At 53.8% G+C, this 23,522-nt stretch overlaps 3 annotated features.

Annotated features, from left to right (window-relative positions):
* Positions 764–1,577: an enhancer, noted in NCBI's record as "H3K4me1 hESC enhancer chr2:121152410-121153223 (GRCh37/hg19 assembly coordinates)". NCBI's record gives its function as "activates a minimal SCP1, AML or CMV promoter by ChIP-STARR-seq in naive H9 embryonic stem cells {active_cell/tissue: H9 hESC(naive)}" and the evidence as "EXISTENCE:reporter gene assay evidence [ECO:0000049][PMID:30033119]".
* Positions 19,635–20,526: an enhancer, noted in NCBI's record as "H3K4me1 hESC enhancer chr2:121133461-121134352 (GRCh37/hg19 assembly coordinates)". NCBI's record gives its function as "activates a minimal SCP1, AML or CMV promoter by ChIP-STARR-seq in naive and primed H9 embryonic stem cells {active_cell/tissue: H9 hESC(naive and primed)}" and the evidence as "EXISTENCE:reporter gene assay evidence [ECO:0000049][PMID:30033119]".
* Positions 22,311–23,204: an enhancer, noted in NCBI's record as "OCT4-NANOG-H3K4me1 hESC enhancer chr2:121130783-121131676 (GRCh37/hg19 assembly coordinates)". NCBI's record gives its function as "activates a minimal SCP1, AML or CMV promoter by ChIP-STARR-seq in primed H9 embryonic stem cells {active_cell/tissue: H9 hESC(primed)}" and the evidence as "EXISTENCE:reporter gene assay evidence [ECO:0000049][PMID:30033119]".

Genomic DNA, 23,522 nt, shown 5'->3' with positions numbered 1-23,522 from the left:
TCCTCCAATGAGAGTCCTGGAGTCGGGTTGGAGGGTAGCATGGAGGCCCACCTGCAGGATGAGCTTGTACAAGTCACTTAGCGTTTCCGCGCACACTCTTGGACACACACACACGCATGTGCACACCCAGCCCGCCCTCCGCCAGGGCTCCTGAGGGCCGTGTGCGCGTGGGTGGGTGCCTGGGGAGCAGCTTCCCGGCGAGAGGCTCTGGAGCCCGCAGAGCCCTCCACTCTTGGCGCGGCGTCAGCCCCAGCCTTCTGCACAGGCAGCTGCCTCTGGGAATGATTTGAAGGGCTCCCGGGAGCTGCTTACCCCTCAGGAACCTCCCCCACCCCTGCCTGTCTGCCTGCCCGGCCTTCCCAAGACCTGGCTGAGATCCAGGAGGGGAGGGAACTCCAGCAGGAGGCCGACGGTGTGTGGGGGGGTGGGGATTGGTGGCTGTGCTGAGTGACCTGTACACCCTCTCATTGCCTCTCTCCAACAACCCCACAAGGTAGATATTAACGCAGAGGCCACCATGCTCTTGGTTAGAGGTGAGGAAGGCGGAGGGAGCTGCTCAAATAGGAAGTGGCAGAGCTAGCAAGGAAAGCCTAGGGTCCTGGGTCTTTTTCACTTCTTACCCCTTCAGGCTAAGAGGAGAATCCAGCGACCAGGCCCTTCAGGACTTGGAGCCTGGGTCAAAACAAGGAACCCCATGAGGCCGGGGCAGAATCCCAGGAAGTGAAAGGGAGAGGAGCTTCAAAGTGCAACTGAGGGTGTGGGGGAGGCCTGAGGAAGCCTCTAGACTTTGCAGTTCAACTGGAGCATCTTGCAGCTATTTGAAGCAGTAAAACCTAGAGGTGGCCAGAGACGTGCTGTCACCAGAGGTGTGTGTGCAGACACACAGGCACACGTATGGGTGTGGGCACCCATATGCGCATGTGCGTGTGTCAAGGTTAACTCCACGAAGAAGGAAAGGTCTGCAGCTGAGGGATCCGGTGGGTAGGGGCGGGGGAGCGCTCCGGAGCAGGACTGTGGAACAGGCCTGTGGACAGAGCTCGATGCTGGACACGTGCCCCACACCCTACTCCCTGGCCTCCCCATACGGCTTCCACCACCTCAGCACACTCTCCAGGGCCCCCGCCTCAAGCCAGGCCAGTGCCAGGCACGTTGCCTACATCAGCTCATCACCCGGAAAGCATTTCATCCCATTCCTTTTGGAGACAGTCAGGCAGCATCTCCAAGTCGACACAGAGCTGGAACTTGAGCTTGGGTCTACCTGGCTCCACAACATTCGTTGCTCAAGGTTGAAATTGGGGGGTTGTGTATGGGCACTCGCTGGATACCAGGTATACCCCAAGAAGGGAGCAGTAAGAGGGCATGGAGGCACAAACCGCTAGGGGCACCTCTTCAGAAAGTATTTTCTAACCAAAGCAGGTCCCGGAGAAGTGCTCATGGGTGGACCCCTAGAGGGACGGCTGTCCTTTCAGCTGAGGTCCTGTTCTCTGGGGAGGGCTGATGCCAGCAGCCAGAGCCGTCGAGAAGCTGAGGCTGAGAGGCTTGAATTGGAGAGAGGTTTACACTAGATTAGAGGTCACACACTGAGGGCCCGAAGGCTGAATTTGACCCTCAGGTGTGTTTTGGGGGATTTTCTTGGCCAATACACCTCTGTCTCACTAATGATATTTCAAAAATCAAATGAGTTGCCTACATTTGAAAACCAGGAGATTGTTGAAGATCCAACAATCCTACAAGACATGAATTTGGTCTGGAAAGGCCTGTATTGCTCACCACAGTCCCCACCCCTCCCTTTCACCCACACCTGGCTTCTGCACTTTTTTTTTTTTTTTTTTTTTTTGAGTTGGAGTATGCTCTGTCGCCCAGGCTGGAGTGCAGTGGCACCATCTTGGCTCACTGCCACCTCCGCCTCCCAGGTTCAAGCAATTCTCCGGCCTCAGCCTCCCAAGTAGCTGGGATTACAGGTGCTCGCCACCATGCCTGGCTAATTTTTGTATTTTTAGTAGAGACAGGGTTTCACCATGTTGGCCAGGCTGGTCTCTAACTCCTGACCTCAAGTGGTCTGCCCGTCTCACCCTCCCACAGTGCTGGGATTACAGGCATGAGCCACTGTGCCCGGCCCACTCATTACTTTTACTGTCAATTCCCGTGGGTCTTTGATTTTGTTTGCCTGGATGATGTCCCTTCCAGCTTTCAGATGCCAGGTTCTTAGGCAACAAGACCTGTTTCCAACAGTTACCCAACGTGTCTGGCCCTGCAGTAGGGCCCTAGGTATAGAAGACACATGAAGGGGTGTGACCATTTGCTCAAGTGACTTTCCTGCTCACAGGTAAACTGAGAAAACCAAACTAAGTGAGAAGGCCCATCCCAGCACTAAGATTCTGGGCTCCTATGAATAAAAAATGGAAAAGAAGGAGGGAGAAAGGAGGGAAAGAAGGAAAGAAGTCGAGCTGAAGGGAAGATGTATCCTGGAGACCTTGTGGCGAGAGTAAGGGGTCAAATGTGGCTGCCTTTTGAATATCTCACCATATCTGTGATGGTGAAGTATGGTGGGTATAAAAGTACATCATTTAGTTAACGATGCATAACAACCCAGACCAAAACTTAGAGGATTAAAACAACAACCACATTTCTAGCTCACGATTATGCAGGTCAGTCATTAAGGTTAGGCTCAATGGGAGGTTCTGCTGGTCTTGGCAGGCTGGGGGCTCATCTTGGCTGGGCTAGCTCCTGCATCTGTATCAGTGAAGGATCAGCTGGGGGCTGGGGGCTGGCTGGTCTAAGATGGCATCTCTCACATGTCTGGGGGTTGGCTGGTGGGCTGCTAGGGCAGTGGTGGGGACTGAGCCGTGTATCTGTGATCCTCCAACAGGCCTGCCGTGCAGGCTTCCAAGAAATCGAGCAGAAGAGTGCAAGACTTCTTGAGACCTAGGCTCAGAATTGCTCCAGTCACCTCTGCAAAACAGATAAAAAGGGTGAGGAAATCACCCCCACCTCTGATGGGGAAGCTGCAAAGTCACATTGCAAAGGATGTGGGTATAGGAAGGAGGAGGTGATTACAACAATTTTTAATCACTCTACCACAAATAGTAAACATACGTAATTGACTTAAACAAGCTAGGGATTTATCTGTCCCTCAACTATCTGAAATGGCTGTCCAGAAGTAGCATGGCAGCTCTTCAAAGTGTTCAGATACTGACATTTTCTGTCTTTCTGTTCTGCCACCTCAATGCTGCTTCTACCCCTTAAGGTTGCCTTGTGTTGCAAAATTGCTGTTGAGGCTCCAGCCATCAAGTCCTCATTCCAGGCAGAAAGCAGAAACAGTTGGGTGGGGAGGAAAGGCAGTGGCCACTAATGGGCATACCTTCCAGCTGAATCAGCTTCACCCAAAAACTTCTGTCTCCTTGGTTGACACTAGCTATCAAGGGAGTCCTCAAATTGAGAACTTTGCCATATGGAATAAAATCAGTTTTCTTAGAAATGAAGATGTGGAGAATGAATATTGGGTATGAAAACAGCAGAGTCTGCCACAGGGAAGAGAGGCAGAGGGAAAAGAGGGGGAGATGTCCCAAAAGGAGTTGAAGGTGACTCACTCCCCCTTCTTGGCATTTTAACTAAAGGACTGAGTAACATCTATCTAGAAAGCAGGGAAGCACTCTTTTTCAATCATTTCACTTGTGAAATTATGTTAAATATACAGAAGTGTGTGCAAATATGTACTAAATGTATCTGTACATTCATTAACGAAAATAAACATCCATGTACCCTAAGGGCAAGAGAGAATTATCAGTCACTGTCCCATCAATAGAGCCTGCAGATCCAGGACCTGTCCTCCTCTCACCCCTCCTGCAGGAGGGCACCCCTACATAGTGCATCTCCCCACCACGTCCTCCACTTCCACCAGTGGAGAACCCTGGGTGGGAGCCCCAGTCCCAAGCACAGCCCACCTTGTCTATCTGGACAGCACCTGCGGCCACCCCCTGGTGCTGCTGCCGCACCTCAGGGCAGCTCCTCTTCACCGCTTGCACCCTAGAACTGGGCCAGGCTTAGCGGTACCCCCCCACCCCCCGCCATCCCTCTCACAAGCCTCACTGACTCCAGATGGGCTCTCTGAGGCCCCAAAGAGAACAATAAATGTCAGGAAAGGCTGATGTCAGAAGGAGGCGATAAAACATAAAATGCAGACAAGGCCGCTCTGGTCTGGCCCAGACATACAGGCCCCATTACAGCTTCCTGCCCGAGAGCGATTTTCCCTGGCCTCCACTGAGCCGTGACACCTCAGAAAAGGGGCTGGGCCAGGGGAGAGGGGACAGAGTGGGCTGGGCACTCAGCCTCAGGGTGAGCATCGGGCATCAGAGCCCTGGGCAAGCAGGTGGCCGCTCTGTGGGGGGCGTTCTTCCCCCAGCCCAGGGAAAAGTGAAGTTTGCACCATTGCTCATGCAATTGGGTATGGACCAGGCAACCATCGGAGCCCCCTTCCTCGGCCATGTCCCAATGTCTCATGTCTCATGTCTCATGTCAATGTCTCATGTCTCATGTCAATGTCTCATGTCTCATGTCAATGTCTCATGTCTCGTGTCTCATGTCAATGTCTCATGTCTCGTGTCTCATGTCAATGTCTCATGTCTCGTGTCTCATGTCAATGTCTCATGTCTCGTGTCTCATGTCAATGTCTCATGTCTCATGTTTCATGTCTCATGTCAATGTCTCACGTCTCATGTCAATGTCTCATGTCAATGTCTCATGTCTCATGTCTCATGTCTCATGTCAATGTCTCATGTCTCATGTCTCATGTCAATGTCTCATGTCTCATGTCTCATGTCAATGTCTCATGTCTCATGTCTCATGTCAATGTCTCATGTCTCATGTCTCATGTCTCATGTCAATGTCTCATGTCTCATGTCTCATGTCAATGTCTCATGTCTCATGTCTCATGTCAATGTCTCATGTCTCATGTCTCATGGCTCATGTCAATGTCTCATGTCTCATGTCTCATGGCTCATGTCAATGTCTCATGTCTCATGTCTCATGGCTCATGTCAATGTCTCATGCCTCATGAGGCCCCTGGGGCCAAGCTCTTAGCTGATGTCAGGCAGAAGAGCTCTGAGCCAGCAAAGGCCAAGAATTCTAGGGCACGAGCCCTACCCATGTGGAATGAATAGTCTGTGTCAGAGTCCCAGGGGTGCCCAGAGATGGAAGGTCCTGCCAAGCTGGGGCTTCAGAACCTCCACCCCTCCTTGAGTCGAGCTTCTCCTCTCCAGCATGTTCCTCATGCTTGCCTCATTATTTCAAATTATTTCATCTGAAGAACAGGCTCCCAACTAAAAATGAATGCAGGAATAAATGAGTGAATGAATGCACGAATGAGTAAACCAGTGAATGAATGAATGGCTGACAGCCATGTGCTAGGAAAGCATTGTGATCTATTGCACAAGCACTTATTAAATGGGTACCCAGTGTGTAAGTGGTGCCTATAACACGAACAGCACCTGTGCAGACGGCAGGGGGTACCAAAAGGAAAAGACCCCGCCTTGGCCACCATCCCAGGGGGGGACTTGTGTTCTAAGAGGCAGTCTATCAGGGGAGGAAGACAAGCCTATGAAAAAGTAGAAAGTACTTAAATAACAGACCCTGCAGCCATGCCTCGCTTTTCTCCAGGCGTAACTGTCTCATCCTCCCCACCAACCAAGGCCCTGATGTTGTGCCCACATTCCACCACCCCACAAGCTACCCCTGTGTCCCTTCCCCTTGCAAGCTGGCCCCACGCCAGCTCCAAGGGGGGCCTGGCTGATGACCCATTAATGGCCCACCCCACTCCTTGCTGGCGATCAATGGGGCCAAAACACTGGACCAGAGGTTCCGGGGGGCCTCTGCCCCATTGTCCCTCTCTTCCAGAATCAGAAGCGACTTGCTCCCTCCTCTCCTGGCTGCTGTCCTGCAGAGACATGAACCTAGAGCTGCTGCAGGATCTCACTCTACCCAGAGGGGCTGCAGCCCACAGGCAGAGTGGAGGACTGTAGGCAACGTGCACCAAGTCACCCCCAGACCCCTCTGTGCTCCTGACCTGCAGTTCTGTGGAACCCAGAGCACCAGGGCATAAGCCTACCAGAGTGGGGTTCTTGTGTCTCACACAGAAGTCACTCCCTCAAAGTGGCCACCTAGAGGCTACAACAGAAGGAGAGATTCTCTGCCTGGAGAAAGAGACGTTTAGGCAGAGTTTTATGAGATGGGCATGAATTTGCCAAAAGGATAAGCAAGGAAGACCATTCCAGGTAAAAGGAGTGGCATGAGGAGGATCATGAAACTTCAACAAGCCTAAGTCCTTCAGGGTGAAGGGAGGAGTGGAATCCTAGCATGGATGCTGACCCCACAGTGATCTATGGGGACATACAGACATGATCTCTATTTGAGGTTAATAATTAGCTTTATACCCGTGAAGAAAATTGAGGCACAGAGAGGGTAAATAACTTGCCCGAGGCTGCGCAGCTGGTAAGTGGCAGAGCTCAGATTCCCAGTCAAGCCCCTGGGAAGAGTCCAGACTCTTTCCACTCTGAATCCCATCATGTCACCTTGGGCAAGTCATTTGACAGGCTGAGCCTCTGTCTTCTCCACTGTGAATGGAGATATAAAATCCTAATGATAGACCGGAGATCTGAGCAACAGAGCTTTACATCTTTTTTTTTTTTGTATGTAAATGGGGATACCCTGCCCTTTCTCCCTGAGGGAGGCAGTCTTGGGAAATGGACGGGTGTGCAGGCTGGGAAGTCCCCAGGCCTGAGCACGTCCACTTGACCATTCTCTTTCCCAGTGGCTTTGGGCAAGTCTTTTAATTGAGGAACCTCAGGTTCTCATATGTAAAATGGAACTAGTGAGACCCATCTCATGGGGTGGGCTAGCCAAGGGTCTGATTCATAGGAAGTTTAGCATGCTGGCCAGCTGCAGTATGTCAGGAGACGGGGCCAGGGGCCCGGGGCCAGAGGCCAGGGAGGGGTGAGGGGCTAAGGAGCACAGGCTCTGTCCTAGCACTTTCAGAGGAGGAGATGAGCTTGGGAACAGTGCAGCCCCAGGAGAGCAGCCAGTAGAGGCGAGCCCTAGCCCTGAGAACCCCACAGGGGTGGAGGAGGAGGCCTGCAGAGGCCAAGGGCTCTGGAGCACAGCACCTCAGGGAGCAGCAGATGCCAGGAGCCAGACCAGCCGAGGAGCCGGGCGGGCAGGTCAGCCCGTCAGATGCCACAGAGAGGGCAACCGCGATAAAAGCCCCCAAGTGCCTGTCAGATCTGGCAATTAGGAGGTCATCAGCGACCTTGGCAGTGGCTGTCAGGCAGTGGGAGGGCAGGAGGCAGCTGTGGGGGGCCAGGCAGCGGGAGTAGAAGCTAGCAAAGCGGGAGAGGTGCTCCCACGAGAAGAGATAACTAGGAACATCAAACAGTGAGATATGGTGGGCAGGCAGCGAGGCCTGGGAGTTCTCAAGCACGGAGGGCCCAGTGCAGGTGGCTGAGCCCTGCACCCACCCCATCCCCACCCCACCTCAATTACCCAAGGCAAGGCAGGGCAGCCACTTCCAAGGACACAAAGGTTCTGCCTTTCAAGTGCACCATGTCTGAAGTCCAGCCCCGCTGGGCACCCAGGTCAGGACTTGAAGCACTCTCTGGTTGTAACTCCAGTGTGCCTCGATGTCCTAAGTTAGTGCAGACACTTGGGAAGGTGGATTGGGCATGCATCACGGATGGATGGATGGACAGATGGACAGATGTTTGGATGAATAGATGAATGGATGGATGGATGGTCAGTTGGATGAATGGACAGATGGATAAAATGCTAATGATAAATGAACTTAGAAAAATTGAACTTTTAGAAATCCAAAACTAGCTAGAAGCAATTGAGTGAAGAGTGACAAGAAGATCCCCCTGCATTGTCCTGGAGGTGAGCCTGTGTGTGCCATAGAGGGCTGGCAGCTGGCTCTCCAGCCCCATCCCTGCCTCCTAGCCAAAGGGTGCTCTGGGAACTTGCCCAGTGCTCTCTGCCCAGGCTGGTCCTGCTCCAGAAACACCCTTCTCTGCCTTCTCCATCTGCCTCCTTCCTCCTCATTATCCTTCAAGGTGTGTTCAGATGTCCCCTCTTCTAGGAAGCTGTCCCTGACTTTCGCCTTCTGGTCCTTCCTGTCCCCAGCTGGTTTGGGGAGGGAGCCGTCTTGCTACTACGTGCATCTCTTATCAGAGTCTCCATGGCCTACGGTAGTGCCAGAAGAGTAGAAGATGCTTAGCAGACTATTAAACTAATTTGTGAAAGGAAGGACAAAGGGAAGGAGGGAGAAAATGAGTAAAAACCTCTATTAACCAGAATGCCTGGCTCCCCATCGGGGGATAAATGCTGAAGTGCTCTGCTCCTGGACCTCTTCCTGCTCCTTCCTAGACCTCCTAGCCTAGGGCCTGCTTTAACCAGTAGTTGTGTGCTTGATAACTAGCAGCACCCCTGCACTCCACCCTCCCCTACCTTCCACCAACCACATGCCCAGGGTCAGATATGTTCTTGCAGCACACAGGCTAGAGATGGAGTGGGGTAGACAAAGCCCAATCCACCGACAGTCTTGCCGAGACCAGATGACTCCAGCATCTGAGGCCAAGATCAGAGAGGTATAGAGAGCAGGCTGGCCTGGGCAGGCAAGGAGGATCAGGCAGGTCTTCAGAGCATAAGAAGGGCAGATTCTAGAAGGGAGGGATGTAGTGTTTTCAGAAGATTCATGGGAGAGACAGAAGCACCACAAACATGGCACACTTGTTTCACTACTAGATTAATAATGTGTCCATCGTTCATTCAACACATCTTTACTGAGCAGCTGCTTGGGCCAGGCACTGTGCTCGGGACCAGGAATCCAGGCATGAGCAAAGCAAGGCCCCATCATGACTCTGTGGAGAATTCACAGGCATAAACTCCACCCACAACAAACTGGTCCAATTTAAAAGATTTCTTAGAATGAGGGCATTTTAATGTCCAATGAGCAAATCGAATTAATTTGCAAGGAATATTGTAGCCCCACCTCTGCCACTCCTGATCCCCTTTCCTCGCCTTATCTTTCTCCATAGCTCTTACCACCATCTGATATGCCATTTACTTATTTTATTTTCTTTATGGCTTGTCTCCCCCACTAGAGTGCAAACTGGAGAAATGAAAGAATTTGTGTCTGTTTTGTTTGCCTAGAGCTGTGTCTGGCAAAGAGTAGGCACTCAATTATTGAAAAGGGGATGGATGGATGGATGGATGGATGGATGGATGGATGGATGGATAAATGGATAGGTGGATGGATAGATGGATGGATGGATGGATGGATGGATGGATGGATGGACGGACGGATAAATGGATAGGTGGATGGATAGATGGATGGATGGATGGATGGGTGGATGGATGGATAGGTAGATGGATGGATAGGTGGATGGATGGATGGATGGATGGATGGATAGTTAGATATGAATAAATGAATTGGGGTATGTATGAGTGGTGGTTGTAAGGGTGGGTGGGAAGCTGGGTAGATAAAGGAACGAATGAATGGATAGATGGGTGGAGATGGGTGAATGAATTGGTAAGTATATAAGTGAGTGGATGGGTGGGTAGACGAATGGGTGGATTGGTGTATAGATGGATGGGTGGATAGATGGGTAGATTGGTGGATGGGTGGTTGCATAGATGAAACATTTTGGGGATATATGGTTTGGGGGCAGTGGATAAGTGACCACTCAGATCACAGGAATATTTTGAAAAAAAAAACAGAAACACTTAAACATGATATGTTTTCCTATAAATACAGAAAATCACTAAAAATCCTCCAGCATTTTTCTCTGAGTTGATCATCACTATTTTCATTACAGAATCCAAATGTTTCTCCCAGTTGCAATCTGAGAACCCTCACCATTTTAATTTATTACTCCCAGGTCCTTGACTTGAAGTAACAGCGTAGTTAGAGTTGTTCCTCACACAAGTGTGACTGCACAACGTTGGTCTAATGCAATGAGTAAAGTACAAAGAAATGATTTTTGCACCTGTAAGATGTGTGTGACAATAACTACCCTCCATGGTGTGTTGGTCTATTCGTCCACACGGAGTACCTGGGACAGGCCCAGAACACAGTAGTTGCTCAATAAATGCTGGCTCTTATTTTACTTTTCAGGTGAAATCATCACACATTTCATGAGTCCTAACTGAGTAGTTTTTCTAGAGCTAGCATCTTGCCAGTCATTCTGGGGACCAACCCAGAACAACCACAACCACATTAGCCTTACCACGTCCCCCACCAAGCCCCCAGATTCTCAAGATTCAGGAAAAGAGAAATTACTTCTCTGAAGCCAGACTGTCTGCAGGGTGGGAGAGCAGCCTCTCCCATGGCCCACAGCACAACCACCCTGCAACCAAAAGGTCTGCATCCAATGCTGGCTCTGCTCCTTACCCAGCTGTGTGACCTTAGGCCAGTGACTTAACCTCTCTGAGCACCACTCTTCTCATCTGTAAAACAGGAGCAAAAATAGCATGTGAGTACAAGGATGGTTGTGAGGATCTCACGAAAAATAACTGTAAAACATTTAGCTCCACACGCAGAGAGCATGAATTCAGTAAATAGTAAGTGTAGTAATAATTATTATTAGTTTCCTAAAATAACAATTCTCCTCAGGTAGATCATTCTCAATTGTAAAATTAATTAGGCCCTCACAATCACAGTGAGACAGAGCAGAGGCTCTCATTCAAATTATGTCCCTAAGGAAACAGGCTGATCAGAAAGGGTGAGAGGCTAGCCTGAGGTCACACAGCAAAAAAGGTGGTATCAGAAAGACACCACCACCTCCTGCCCAGGCACCTTCCTAAGGCCCCTCCTGAAACCTAGCAAGACATCCTCTCCCACTTCCCAGGACTAGGCCCTGCTCATCTTTGTCCTGTCTTCCCCTCCCCCTTTCCCAGGCAAACATGATTTCATTCAGCCCCAAACGTGTGAGAAGCTTGGGCTGATGCATAATTCATGATGCCAATTTGCATTCCCTGTGCCAGGCCTCCAGCCTCCTCCCCCACCGCCCCCAGCCCAGCCCAGCCGATCCTCCCAGATCGAGCATCTGCGTTCCCAGTGACATTTTTCTAGCAGCAGTGGTTCTGGAAGCCCATCCCAGGGATAGGATCTCACAGAGCTGGAAATACTCTGTGGATTGTAAGCACTTCCTTGCCCCGAGGGCCTTGTCAGATCGATCCTGTGGCAGGTCCTCGAGGACCTCTGGGTCAAGTCCCGGTCAGAATGGCAGTGGGGGCAGGAGGAAAATGTGCGCATGGCATTTAAAGCAAGCCCACGTGCAAGGATTCTTGTCATCGTCCCTCTGTGGAAGGTATATCTCACGCTCCATTTTGGCCCAAACCACAGGGTGCCCAAGGTCAGGTTTGCTGACCCCCAGCCGACCTGTCAGAGCTTGTCCTCAGATGAGAATATGGGTCTGGTTGAGTCCAAAGTCCACACTGCCTCTGTGCACAGGCCCTAGGGGAGGTCCCAAACTCCTGTAGATGATTTGGCTGAGGCCTGGGGAGGGTGTGGCCTTGACTCTGTGTCCTCACCTGCTAGCCTGAGCCTTCATGAGCCAGCCTTCCCCCCGGGAGGAGATGCAAGGGGGAGACAACACCACCAAGGACTGCCCCAGTGGGAGACCCCAGACTGGTCCAGTGCAGGGAGCTTCCAGGCCAGACTCCCCCATCCAGGGGCCTGGCAAGCCCCAGGAACCAGGCATAGGCCCATCCCCTAAATGGGGCTCCCAGAATGGACAGGCATCAGGACATGGAAGCTTCCTCTGGGACATTATGGAGGCTCATAGGGACATACATGGGCTCAGCCACCCAGAACAAGTGCCTTGGTATGGCTGATCATGGGGAGAGCCAGACTGCCCAATGTGGAGAAGGGGGTCTCTGAGGGCGAGGCTCCTGTCCTCTCCATCCTCATCATGGCACACACTAGGTGCTCAGTCTTCAAAATCACCACCATGCACTAAGTGCCTGCTGCATGCCAGGTATCCTTCAGGGCAGCAGGCCTCAAGCTCCAGCCCCATTTTGCACATGAAAAAGACCAGTTCTGAGAGGTGACACCAAAGCCAGTTCTAAGTGACACAGCTGGGAGATGACAGAGCCCGGGCTCAAGTCCAGTTCAGTGGAAAATCCTCACTCCTCCTGTCCCACTCCAGGCCTCAAGAAAGGGGAGAAGGGAGAGATTCACATTCCTAGTGGAGGAGAATCCCTTCCTACCAGCCCCATCCCAAGGCCAAGCTCCCAGCCAGACACGGCTGCTTGGAGGGAAGCAGGGAGAGGGAAGAGCAGTTTACGCTAGAGCTCAGCTGGGCCTTATCGGGCAGTAGACACGGTGAGGTCAGCAGGGGCTCCTCGCCCCTCACCCCAGCTCTGCCCTCCTGGGCCCCTCTGTTGTGTCTGCCACAGGCGAATAGACTCAACTCAGTATCTTGCCATCTTAAGGCCAGAGGTGCCTGGGCTGGGGAGGAATGGGCCTGAGCTCCCTCCCAGTCAGCTACAGCCCCAGGACGGCTTCACCTTAGCCTCTTGTCCCTGCAGACCGGCTACAACCTTCTGGCCATGCGGCCACCCCCCAGGGCCACAGGAGATGAATGGGAGCCCTGAGGCTCACCCAAGAGACCCTGAGAACCCAGGGCCCTTTTTAGAGACAGCCCTGAGAGCCAAGGGAATGTCCTGGCTGCAGGCAGCCCACTGGCTGAGTGCGTGATGCAGGCTGGCGCTGCACTAGGCGGGTCTGCATTCACGATCTGATTCTCACGCCCGTTCTTCAGATGGACACTGAGGTACAAAGAGATGAAGCTTCATGCCTGGGAGTTTTGCAAACTCCTGGTGATTGAAGGGAGGAGTGTTTGATGGTGTGGGTGGGGGGCGGGGGGCACCGGGAGGACGCGCTACACAGTGGGCCTAAATACCACATGCCAGCATGCTCAGCAGCAGCTTGACCCCGGCCACATCACCATAGCCCACTAAGCCTTGCTGGGAGGCTCAGGTTCAGCCCTTTCATGCAGATGAGGACAATGAGCCCAGCAGGTGTAGTAACCTGCCCAATGCTGCATAGCAGGCCCAGGAGAGTGAGGCTTAAACCCAGCCTCCAGGGTTTAGGACCTGCACACTCCAGCACACCCCACCGCCTCTCCAGGTCAGCAATGCTCGCTTCACCCACCTTGTGAAGAGGACTTCCTTCCCTTGCTAATGGGTAAACTGAGGCACAGGCCAATTACCTCTCTTTGCAATCCCTAAGAAAAAGGGGAGCTGCCGGCACACACTGGGTATCTCCTATATGCCTTCTGCCTCCCAAGCGTTCCCTTCATTATTTCATGGAATCCTCACAACGATCTCATGTGGTGGGTGCTATTGTTCCTTTCTACAGATGGGAAAACTGAGGCCAGTGAAGTGATCTGTCCTCAGTTGCAGTGCCAGGTGAATGGCAGAGCTGGCCATCCAAGGTCACAGCGGGCTTATGGGCCATGGCTTTGGCCGTGTCGCCGCAGCCAGCTGAACCTCAGGGTGGCCTGGCAGCTCATGCTTTGAGTTGTGAGCCCAGTGCCTGGGTGTGAGCCCTGGGTCTGCGACCGTCTGCTGTGTGACCTGGGCAAGTTTCAGTTTGCCCATCTGTGACATGGAGTAATGCCCATGACTGCCTCACAGGCTGTTACGAGGCCCAAATGACACAACACAGGTCAAATGCTGGGGACAAGGCAACGCACAGAAAATGACCAGCACACATCCAGTGCTGCTATTGCCATGACAGTTACATGGTGATGACACAGCTTGAGTGGGGCTTTGAAAGTCTGACACCTTATAGCCCAGGGGTTCTCCAACTTCAGTGTGCATCAGTTTACCTGGGGGCTGGCCTCACCCCCCATCTCCAACTCCCGTGTCTGGGGTGGGACCCAGGGATTTGCATTTCTGAAAGTTCCTGGGTGATACTGAGGCTGCTGGTCTGGGGTCCACACTTGGAGGGCCACAGCATAGAACTTGCAGGATGTTTAATGTTCATGGAGAACCTCATGGGCAGGAGTGAAAATCTGGCTGCTGGGCTCAGGAGAGACAGCTCTGGGTAGATCCCTGCAGGCCCCAAAGCAGAAGGGCAGAGTCAAGCCCACAGTTGTCCTTTGATTGGTGAGCCAGCCTCATGCTTCCACTTACCTCAGTTGTCCCCTGTCCCCAGTTGTGGGCTGGAGTGAAGCCAAGTGCCTCTTCTGAACTGGAGGTTGCCCTTGAGCCCAGAACTTTGGGTTGGGGGTCCTGGCCAGGCCTCTTTCATCCTTCCTCCCAGGACACAGCCACGCACTCAGGCAGCAGATCAAAGGGAGCTCCTCCTCTAATGAAGTGCCTACCTCTGCCAGCTGCTTCTCTCATTCCCACTGAAGCCTCCCATCAGGTGGGAAAAGTAGATATATACCATCCCCATAGTACAGAGGAAACACCTGAGGCTCAGAGAGGCCAAGCAACTTGCCCAAGGCCGCACAGCCAAAAAGGGGCCAGCCTAGTCACAACCCCCAGAGAGCTCCCCCGGCTGCTCCCTGGTCACCCTTGGGGTCCCATTCAAGTGCACTCAAGGTCCCCCAGGCCAGGGCTAAGGCCCCCGCATAAGCTCTGATCTTTTCTCCTTCATGATACTGACCACAGCTGCGGTTAAACCAGTCTCTGTCTGGCAATTTGTATATCTGTCTCTCCCACAGGCATGCCAGCTTAATGAAGGCAGGGGCTGTACTTCTTGCTTCTCACCCAGTCCCCAGAGCCTGGCACCAAGTGGGCTCTCCCTAAGCATCTGTTTCCTGAAAAATGAATGAGCCCAGTGATGCCACAGCACTGCCTGGGGCACCCAGCTCGGTGGCAGACCCATGGGGAGGTGGAGACTCTGGGCATCTGCTTCCCCCTGAGCACCTTTACAGGTGGGAGCTTGGGGCCTGGGAGCTCAGGCATGTCATTCCCCAGGGACTTCCTGACCTGGCCAAGCCCAAGCCTTGGGCACATCCCCAGAGCCCACAGCCTATAGCCCACCCTGCGGGTTCTCATGCCTGGTCACTGTTTCTGCCTCAGATGAGCCCAGGAGATCTGAGCAGGCCCGACATGCTGCCTGCCCTGTCCTCTGGCGTGCACCTCTGCTTTGCAAAACACTTTGTCTTACGACAATGAGAGCAGAATGTCTCACCATCTAAAACTGAAATTCTGCCGACTTGCTTTCCACACCTGTGAAATGGGATGATAACCCACAACTCAGTCTGCCTTGTGGGGAGCTTGAGGGCCTAGGAGATTCTGCATATGAGATCCATGGGGTGATCAAATGTCCCGCTTTTCCCAGGACTGGTGAGTTTCCCGGGGTATAGGACTGTCAGTGCTAAAATTGGGACAGACCCAGGCAAAAAGAGATGATTGGCCATCCTGCCTGAGAGGCCTTGACAAGGACGAAACATGTGTGTTTTAAATCTCTGAGTTGAGGAGGGAAGGCTGAGGGATTCACTCCTAAGGTTGCAGAGCAAGTCAAGAGTGGAATCAGCCCAAGATCCCTGTTGGTCTTCCTGCCTCTCAGGGTCTGTCACCTGCCAGAGGCTCCTGACACCTGTTCCTCTTGGCTCCAGCAGCTGGGTCTGCACGTGGCTGGGGAATGGAAAGCTCACGTGGCAGAACAGCTTTGTAGTGGGAAGCTCAGCACACAGGTGGAGCCGGGTGGGCCACCCTCTACCTGACTCACTGCCTCACCTGCCTTTCTTTTAAAGCATTTTCCTGCTCCAAACACAGTCAAGTTCAAAACAAACAGTTCAACCCAGCTGCCAGCCATGGGAGCAACCCATGTGCAACAGGCAGAAAGCATTGCTCCCTCTGCTTGGAGGAGTTAGGGGAGGCACCTGGTCCCTAAACAGGAGGCACCCACATCCCGCTTAGGATTGGTGCACCCTGGGGGCCCTGCAGGATGCTGGGATACCCGTGGATGCTGCAGGGCGTGGCTCCCCAATAGCCAAGCTGGCCAGCTCAGCCAAATGGACAGGCCAAGGGGGACAGAAGAAGTGGCCATGAAGGCTCCAGTTTCCGCAGGTTCTAGCACTCAGCAGACCTGGGTTCAAACCCAGGCTCTGCCACTTACCAGTCAGCGTCCCTGGGTGAGTAGTTTAATCATCTTTCCTGAATGACCTTCTCTGTGCCTGGCACTGTACATGGATTATGTCACTTAATTCTCACTGCAGCCACATAAAGAAGCTGCTGAAAGGCGAAGTAACCAGGCTGAGGTCGGAGGGCTGCCAAGTCAGAGCTGAGATGCAGAGGACGGTGGCGGGCACGCGGGGCTCCTGCAGAGCAGTACAAGCACACGTGTTTTGCCTGCGGCACAGAGTTGGAAAATCAATACACACGAGATTCTTTCCTTCCATTTTTTGTATTTCTGAAACCCTGGTGCGGGGTCTAGAGTAAGTGCTCAGCAAAGGTTTATGAAACGAACGAATGCGCTGGTGCATTTTGTCCTCCTAGAAGTGTCCAGAGCAAATATGAACACACATGCAACAGGGATGTCTTGATGAGGGTCTGTTTCCCCTACGCCCTGTAAGTGTCCACTTGTAACCATAGTGGCTTCTAGGGGACGCTTCTGGCACAGGGTTGGACACACCACCTACTGGAGGACAGACCCACTGACGTGTGGATGGTATTGGAGATGCAAGGACACCTGCCCTAATCAGCTCCTTGCTCTCCTCTGCCGACCTGCCCTATGGTAAGAAGTGGGGAGGCCCCTACCCCTCCCAGGCCTCCCTGTCCTCTCTACCCACTCGGGAGCCTGGTGCCCAGTCTTCGCTCTGAATTGTTGACTCTCTGCTGGGGCACACCCCACCCCCACTTTACCACCCTCCCCAGTCTTTCTACCCACTTGCTTTTTGGATTCAGCATTGTCCAGGTTAGGCAAGGTGGCCACCAGCCTCTTTACAAACTAGCCCCTATGTGGAATTCAATAAACCTCTGGTCTTCCTAGAGCAGAGACCAACCTGGGGCAGGCTTGGTAGGGCCTGAGCTTGGTGGCGCCCTGTTGGGGGCTGCCTGAAGCACACACACTTGCTGGGACCCCTTGAAGTGGCCCTGTCTGCCTGCAGCCTGCCGCAGGACCCACAGCCACACTGCTGGGCCCGGGGTGCGTGCAGCCTCAGCTCTGGAGTCACCGGCCAGGCTGAGAAATAGGAGGATCAGCAGAGGTGTAGACCCCTCAGCCTTGTTCTCTCCCCCCAGGGCTTTAAGTTCAGGGAACAAGCCCGGCTAGGTGGCGAGGATGGGAGTGGGGGCACAGTGGGGAGAAGGAAGGAGAACATCAGAGCCCCAGGCCACGGAGTTGGAACTGGGGGTGCCAGAAATCAATAAGTCTGGGTTACCTGACCCTTTTTGAAGGTGCAAAGGTCAGTCCTCTCCCAGATTTTCATCCCTCCCTCCGCCCCTCCCCTCTAGCCTGCACAGGTGCCCTAAGACCCCTGCCTAGCCCAACCCACCTACCCCTCTCCTCTGCCCCATCCTCTAGACGTGCTTATCCGTGCTCTGCCTCAGCCTGAACACCTGCCCACAGTGGTCCTAGCCTTCCAATTAAACCTGGAGTCCACAATTTAGGGCAGCTGTGTGTCCTTGGGCAAGTCACTTAACCTCTCTGAGCCTTGGTTTCCTCAAATGTAAGTGGTGGTAAAGATCTCTCCTACTCAGAGGAATGGTTGGAGACCATGTTTATAAAGGGCACTGTCCTCTTCCACCCTTCCTTCCCTTTCCCCTTGTCAGGGCAGTAAAAGCCAACATCACCCTCGCTGGCTTCTTCCTGCCAGCCTCGCCTCCCACTTCTCCCCAAGCTAGCGTCCTAGCTGCTCCCCACTTCTACCCAGCCATGTTCTCCCCTAGCCTTTGGCCTGTGCTGAGCCCTTCTCCTGCCCCTCCAGTTACCCAGAGCCTACCCCCTACCCCAGTCAGAGAGCTGGCTGTCAGAAGGCAGGGATGCAATTTCCGCTTCTCCTGCAGAAGTCCTGGGCTGTGTATTGGCAGGTGCATCTGCTGACCTGACATCCCAGCCCCAGCCACCACCCATGTCGGGACATCGTCTCCAACCAAGGGCCCCATCATCATGATGAAAATGATCGTTAGTTTCCTGCCTTCCACGCGTCAGGCATTTTACAATCCTGACTCACTGAATCCTCACAGCCCAAGTATAAGTACTTATCAACCCCATTTTACAGATGAGGAAACTAAGGCTCAGAGAGCTTGGGTAAGTGGCCAAGAGTGCCCAGCCAGAAACAGTGAGTCAGATAGAAGCCAAGATCTGTCTGGCTCTGATGTTTAGCCTGTGCACCTGCAGCCATGCGGAGGCACAGGCTGAAGGGGGCAGACCCCAGCTCTCCCTGGTGAGGGGCAGCACCCGATAACCCTTGATGCCCTGGACAGTGGGCCCCCGGGGGAGCAGAAAAATGGAGCTCCAGGCTGGCCGAAGGCTCATCAGGTCTTCGGACTCTTGTATGAGGCCTCCATTGTTCTACCTGTAAATGGAGTGAGACTGGATCCACTAAACCATGCTAGAGTCATAGCGAGTTGAGGCCAGAGAGGAGAGCGCAGCATGGGGCCGGTCAGCCAGCTGCAGCCATGGGAGACTGTGAGAGACAGAGCAGCAGAGCCATTGAGGCAGCCCCAGATCCCAGGCAGGGAGCAAAGGGAGCAACGGCAATCCAGGCAGGAGCCAAAGAGAGGAGCCAGATGCAGGAGTGCAGACCGGGGTGTGGGAAGAGAAAGATCCCTGACAAATGGCTCCCGTTTTCTCAGGGGAGGGTGTAAGGAGGGCATCCCATGGGGTCAGAGGCTGCTGGGGACAGAGGGGACGCAAGGAGTAGAGAGGCGCTGGTATGCAGCTGGCACGTGCTGGGGCAGAGGGTGTTCAAGGGCCCCTCCCCACCAGGCTCGATTCCTCTCACCCCAACCTCAGGAGCTGCTGGAACAGGAAATGAACTTCTGGGCTCCTGCAAAGAGAGCCCTCCACTCCTGGGAGTAGGGGCGGGCAGGGGTGGGGGCTGCAGAGGGCTTTGGCAGGCTGGACGTGGGACTAGCTGCCTGTGGCCGGAGAAGGGAGGGGTCTGCAGGGTGGTATTCCCACTCCCCACATTAGGTGGCCCACAGAGGGTGTGGGTGGGAACGGGAGTGGCCAGACCCTCGAGCCAGGGGCAGGGGTACATGGTGCCTCCTATGGGGCCTCCCCTCCGCCTCAAACCTCCATTCAAACCAGTCATAGAGCCTGACTTTGTTGGGTCATAGCCAGGTGACACTGGGGCATTCAACCTCATTGCAGAGAGAACAGAAGAGGAAAGGCGTACATGTTCATTGAGCATCCACTACACAGCAGGTGCTATGCCAGACTCTGAAATTAGGATGCCATCAAACCTCTAAAACAGCCCTTTGAGGAACATGCTATGACTCCATTTTACAGATGGAAGAGCTGAGGCCTAGGGAGGCTGAGGGATTGGCCCCTGCTGCATCAGCATCGTAGTTCAAAGGTTGAGATCTGGGCCAGTGGACTGGCTCTAAGCAGCTGTGGCTTGGGGCATTTTACTTAACAGCTGTGCCTCAATTTTCTTAGCTGTAAAATGGAAATCCTAACAATTCCTCCTCCTCGGGTTGCTATGCGGGTCACAGAAAACCATCACTGCGGGTGCCAGGCACACCACGAGGGCTCGCTGAGCAGAGGGATGCCCGGGGGATGGAGCCTGAAGCTCATACCTTGTCCTTGTGCTGGGCTCAATCGCATCCACCTGTGGCACCAGTCTTTCCAAGACAGCATTTCTTTGTGTTGGTTTATTTTGAAGTCATTGAAGCAGTGGGAGTGAGAAAGGCAGGAGGGAGTGGGGCCCAGAGGAGAAGGGAGGAAGGAGGGTGGGCCCCCCAGGCAGCAGAGCAGAGGGAAGAGGAGTCCACAGCGGGTGAGAGGGGAGATTAGACACTAGAGAGGAAGGAATGCCAAGGTCACCAGGGTTAGGCTGCCTGGGGCCGCCAAGACCGCCTGAGACGTGGATCATGACCATGCTCTCTGGGCTAAGTCACCTATGCGGTTCAACTGGAGGAGGGGCGCCAGAAAGTCCCTCGTCCCTGGGGAAAGACCCCCCTCTGTGGTTCTACCAGTGCCCCAGTTTCCACCATTCGTGCTGAAGCAGTCAGTGGCGGAGGCTGAGTACGAACTCAGGTCACCTGGGCCTGCCCAGGGCTTAGCCTCTGCTTCCTCACCCCGAAGGCCAGGACCCTCCTGCTTTCAACGTCTACCTTCCACCTGGCCTCTGGGCTCTGTGATTCTGATGTTCCTCAGCACCCCTGCCACTCAAAACTGTCTCCTGGGGTGAAGTGCCACGTGGGGTTTGCAGGGAGGGTCGCTGCATTGCCAGGGGTGGGTGACAGAAAAGGCATTCAAACACCCTCAGTCCAACCTGCTCACGTCTCATGGGACAAACTGAAGCCAACCGAGGTGGGGTTGGGCAGGGGGTTGGGGCTGTCCTGCCCAGGACCACACAACAGGGCAGTGGCTGAGGCCCTCACCCGGCCTCCAGGCACCTGACCTGCTGGCCGTGTAGCTGGACTGGCTCTGCCCAGGAAGGACCTAGGGTTCACTAAGCCCTGGTGGGCAGGAGTGAGACCCAGCACTGAGGCTGCTCAAAGCCACATGCCAGCAAGGGGTCCCCATTCGTACCACCCAACCCTGCAGGAAGACCTCCTGTGCCCAAAGGACAGATAAGGCAGTGAGGACTTGGGGGCGCCCAGCTTGCCAGGAGGCAGTGAAGTCAGGCTTGGTGGAAGTCCAGGGTTGACAGGCTCTGTGGCAGCCCCCAAGGCTCTGCCAGTTGAGAAAGACTCATGAGCTGGTTCTCCAGCCCCTGGGGGGCGGGAGCCTCTCAAGGAGCTGGGGCAAAGGGGAGCTCAAGCCTGCCCTGGCCAGCCCACAGCCGCAGCTGGAGATCAAGAAGCCCCCGGCCAGCCTCAAGACACAACAGCGATAAGGGGTATCGGCCGACAGCTGGGGCAAGGGAAGGAGCTGGCGCAGGCTCTGGGCCTGGGGACTGGGGGTGGGGGATTCTCCTTGGGGAGGCAGTGAGGGGCAACCTGGGGATATCCCTTCTCAGAATAGATGCCCCAAAAGTTGTCAACGGGACCAAAGTGACCCAGACACTTGGCCCTGTCCAAATTCTGGGCTGGCCACACCCTCAGCTCCTCGGCAGCCACAGGGGCAGGTGTCTTATGTGAACGGTAGACTTCCCAGCCAGGGAGAAGGATACTGCCTTCAGCACATGGCACCAGCCCCAAGCCTGTCTTCAGGTTCAGAAATGTCTCCTGGTGGGGGTGAGGCGCTGTAGCCAGGAGGCAGCCTGGACAGGAGTGGGACACCCCTTGAGACAGCCCATCTCTCTTGGAGGTGCTGGGGACTGACTTCCACTATGGAGGCCTGGGGTCGCCCAGCCCAGGCCCAACCCCCACTCCACAAGTATGATGACCACAGGCAGCTCACTTCCAGCCTTGGTACCTCAGACAAGAACATCCCCTTTCCAGGGGTTGCTGCGGGGACTCAATGGGGCTATGTGGGGAGTCTGCTGACTGCCTTCTGGTCTCAGTGGTGGAGGAGACATGAGTGGTTCCTCAGGGCTGGCCTCCTCCCCTCCCCTTCCCAGGGAGTCCCGGGTCTGTCCAGCTTTCCTCTTTGCCTGGATCGAAGCTCTCCTATACATCTAAGAACTGTCAGAGCCACTGTCCTATCCAACAGCCCTACAAAGTCTTTGATTGAGGTTTTCCTCTCCATTCCACAGACTAGGAACCAGAAGACCGGGAGGCTGGGATGGGCTACTCTGTGCTGGGGACAGGCTGGTGCTGAGGACCGGGATCTCAGTGGACCCCCAGACAGGGCACACCTTCTGAGACAGCACAGCCCCAAGAAAGGGGTCACATCCCCTTCCAGGCCCCAGGGGGATTTTTTTTTTTTTTTGATACAGAGTCTCACTCTGTCACCCAGGTCAGAGTGCAGTAGCACGATCTCGGCTTACTGCAACTTCCGCCTCCCGGGTTCAAGTAATTCTCCTGTCTCAGCCTCCGGAGTAGCTGGGATTATAGGTGGGCATAACCACGCCCAGCTAATTTTTGTATTTTTAGTAGAGACAAGGCTTCACCATGTTGGCCAGGATGGTCTTGATCTCCTGACTTCGTGATCCGCCCACCCTCGGCCTCCCAAAGTGCTGGGATTACAGGCGTGAGCCACTGCGCCCGGCCCCCAGGGAGGTTTTGAAGTAAAGACAACTGGCCCCTCCTCCAGCCCCACCTAGGACTCCTTGTCACTATTCTAATTGTGCTTCCCCTCCCACTCTCACACAAGTCCCATTCCCTGAGAATCACAGTACTTAAGAGCTCAGACACAGGTGCCTGCTGTGGGACCTTACTCAGGTTTCTTAATCTCTCTGTGCTTGGATTTGCTCATCTGTAAATTAGGACAATTTAGGACCCACCACATGATCCTGCTATGAAGTCAGTGTAAAGTGCATGGAGCAGAGACCCGCCTTGGTAAGCACTCTGAGCACTTGATCACAGCTCCCCTCAGCCTCCACCTTGCCCTTCTCTCCCTGAATGCCCTTCCTTCACGGGAGTAACTCCGGCTCATCTCTCAGGACCTGGCCCGGGCACCGTCTCCTCCGTAGAGCCACCATTCACGTCACCCAGCCCCCACCCAGCGTCACCATCCCTCCCCCTCCCTCTGGGCAGCTGGGGTTTCTTCCCCATCAAAGGGAAAGTTTCCATGCAGGCCTCCCCGCTGTCCTGGAAGCACTGAGGCCAGGGGTTTATTTCACTCTGGGGCTTTCTCTAGTATGGGCTTGGCAAGGGCCGGGTCCCAGGAAACATTTGCATCACCAAAGCCAACTGTGGGAGTTGATGTCTTATTGTAATGGTTCTGCTGCCAGACCCTGGAAGTCGTTTTAGTTCTTTAAAAAACATTCTTTTTGCATTGCAATTAATTTTTCTGCAAGTAAATTCATGAATACATTATCCTTATAAAAGAAAAAAGCAAAAACTATGCATAGATATGACTAAGATCCCCTCAGAAATCAAGCCCATCCAAGGCCTTCTTCTCTCCCTCCCCAGAGAGAACCGTAGGCACTGGGGAGAGCCAACCTCTTTTCCTCCTTCATACATGTAAATGTGTGTCCACAGGAAACATGCAGAACTCTGTGTGTGTCTGTGTGTGTGTACGTCTGTGTGTCTATGTGTGTGCCTCTGTGTGTGTGTATGTCTGTATGACTGTGTGTCTGTGTGTTTCAGTATGTGTGTCTATGTCTGTGTGTCTATGTCTGTATGTCTACGTATGTCTGCATGTATGTGTCCGTGTGTGTGTGTGTGTATGTCTATGTGTGTATGACTGTGTGTCTGTGTGTCTCGGTGTGTGTGTCTATGTCTGTGTCTGCATGTGTGTCTGTGTGTGTGTATGTCTGTGTCTATGTGTCTGTATGTCTGTGTGTCTATGT

This window comes from Homo sapiens, chromosome 2 (assembly GCF_000001405.40).
Source record: "Homo sapiens chromosome 2, GRCh38.p14 Primary Assembly".
Classification (NCBI taxonomy): Eukaryota; Metazoa; Chordata; class Mammalia; order Primates; family Hominidae; genus Homo; species Homo sapiens.
Note: the sequence above shows the minus strand (reverse complement) of the source record. Positions and strands in the feature narration are given on the sequence as shown.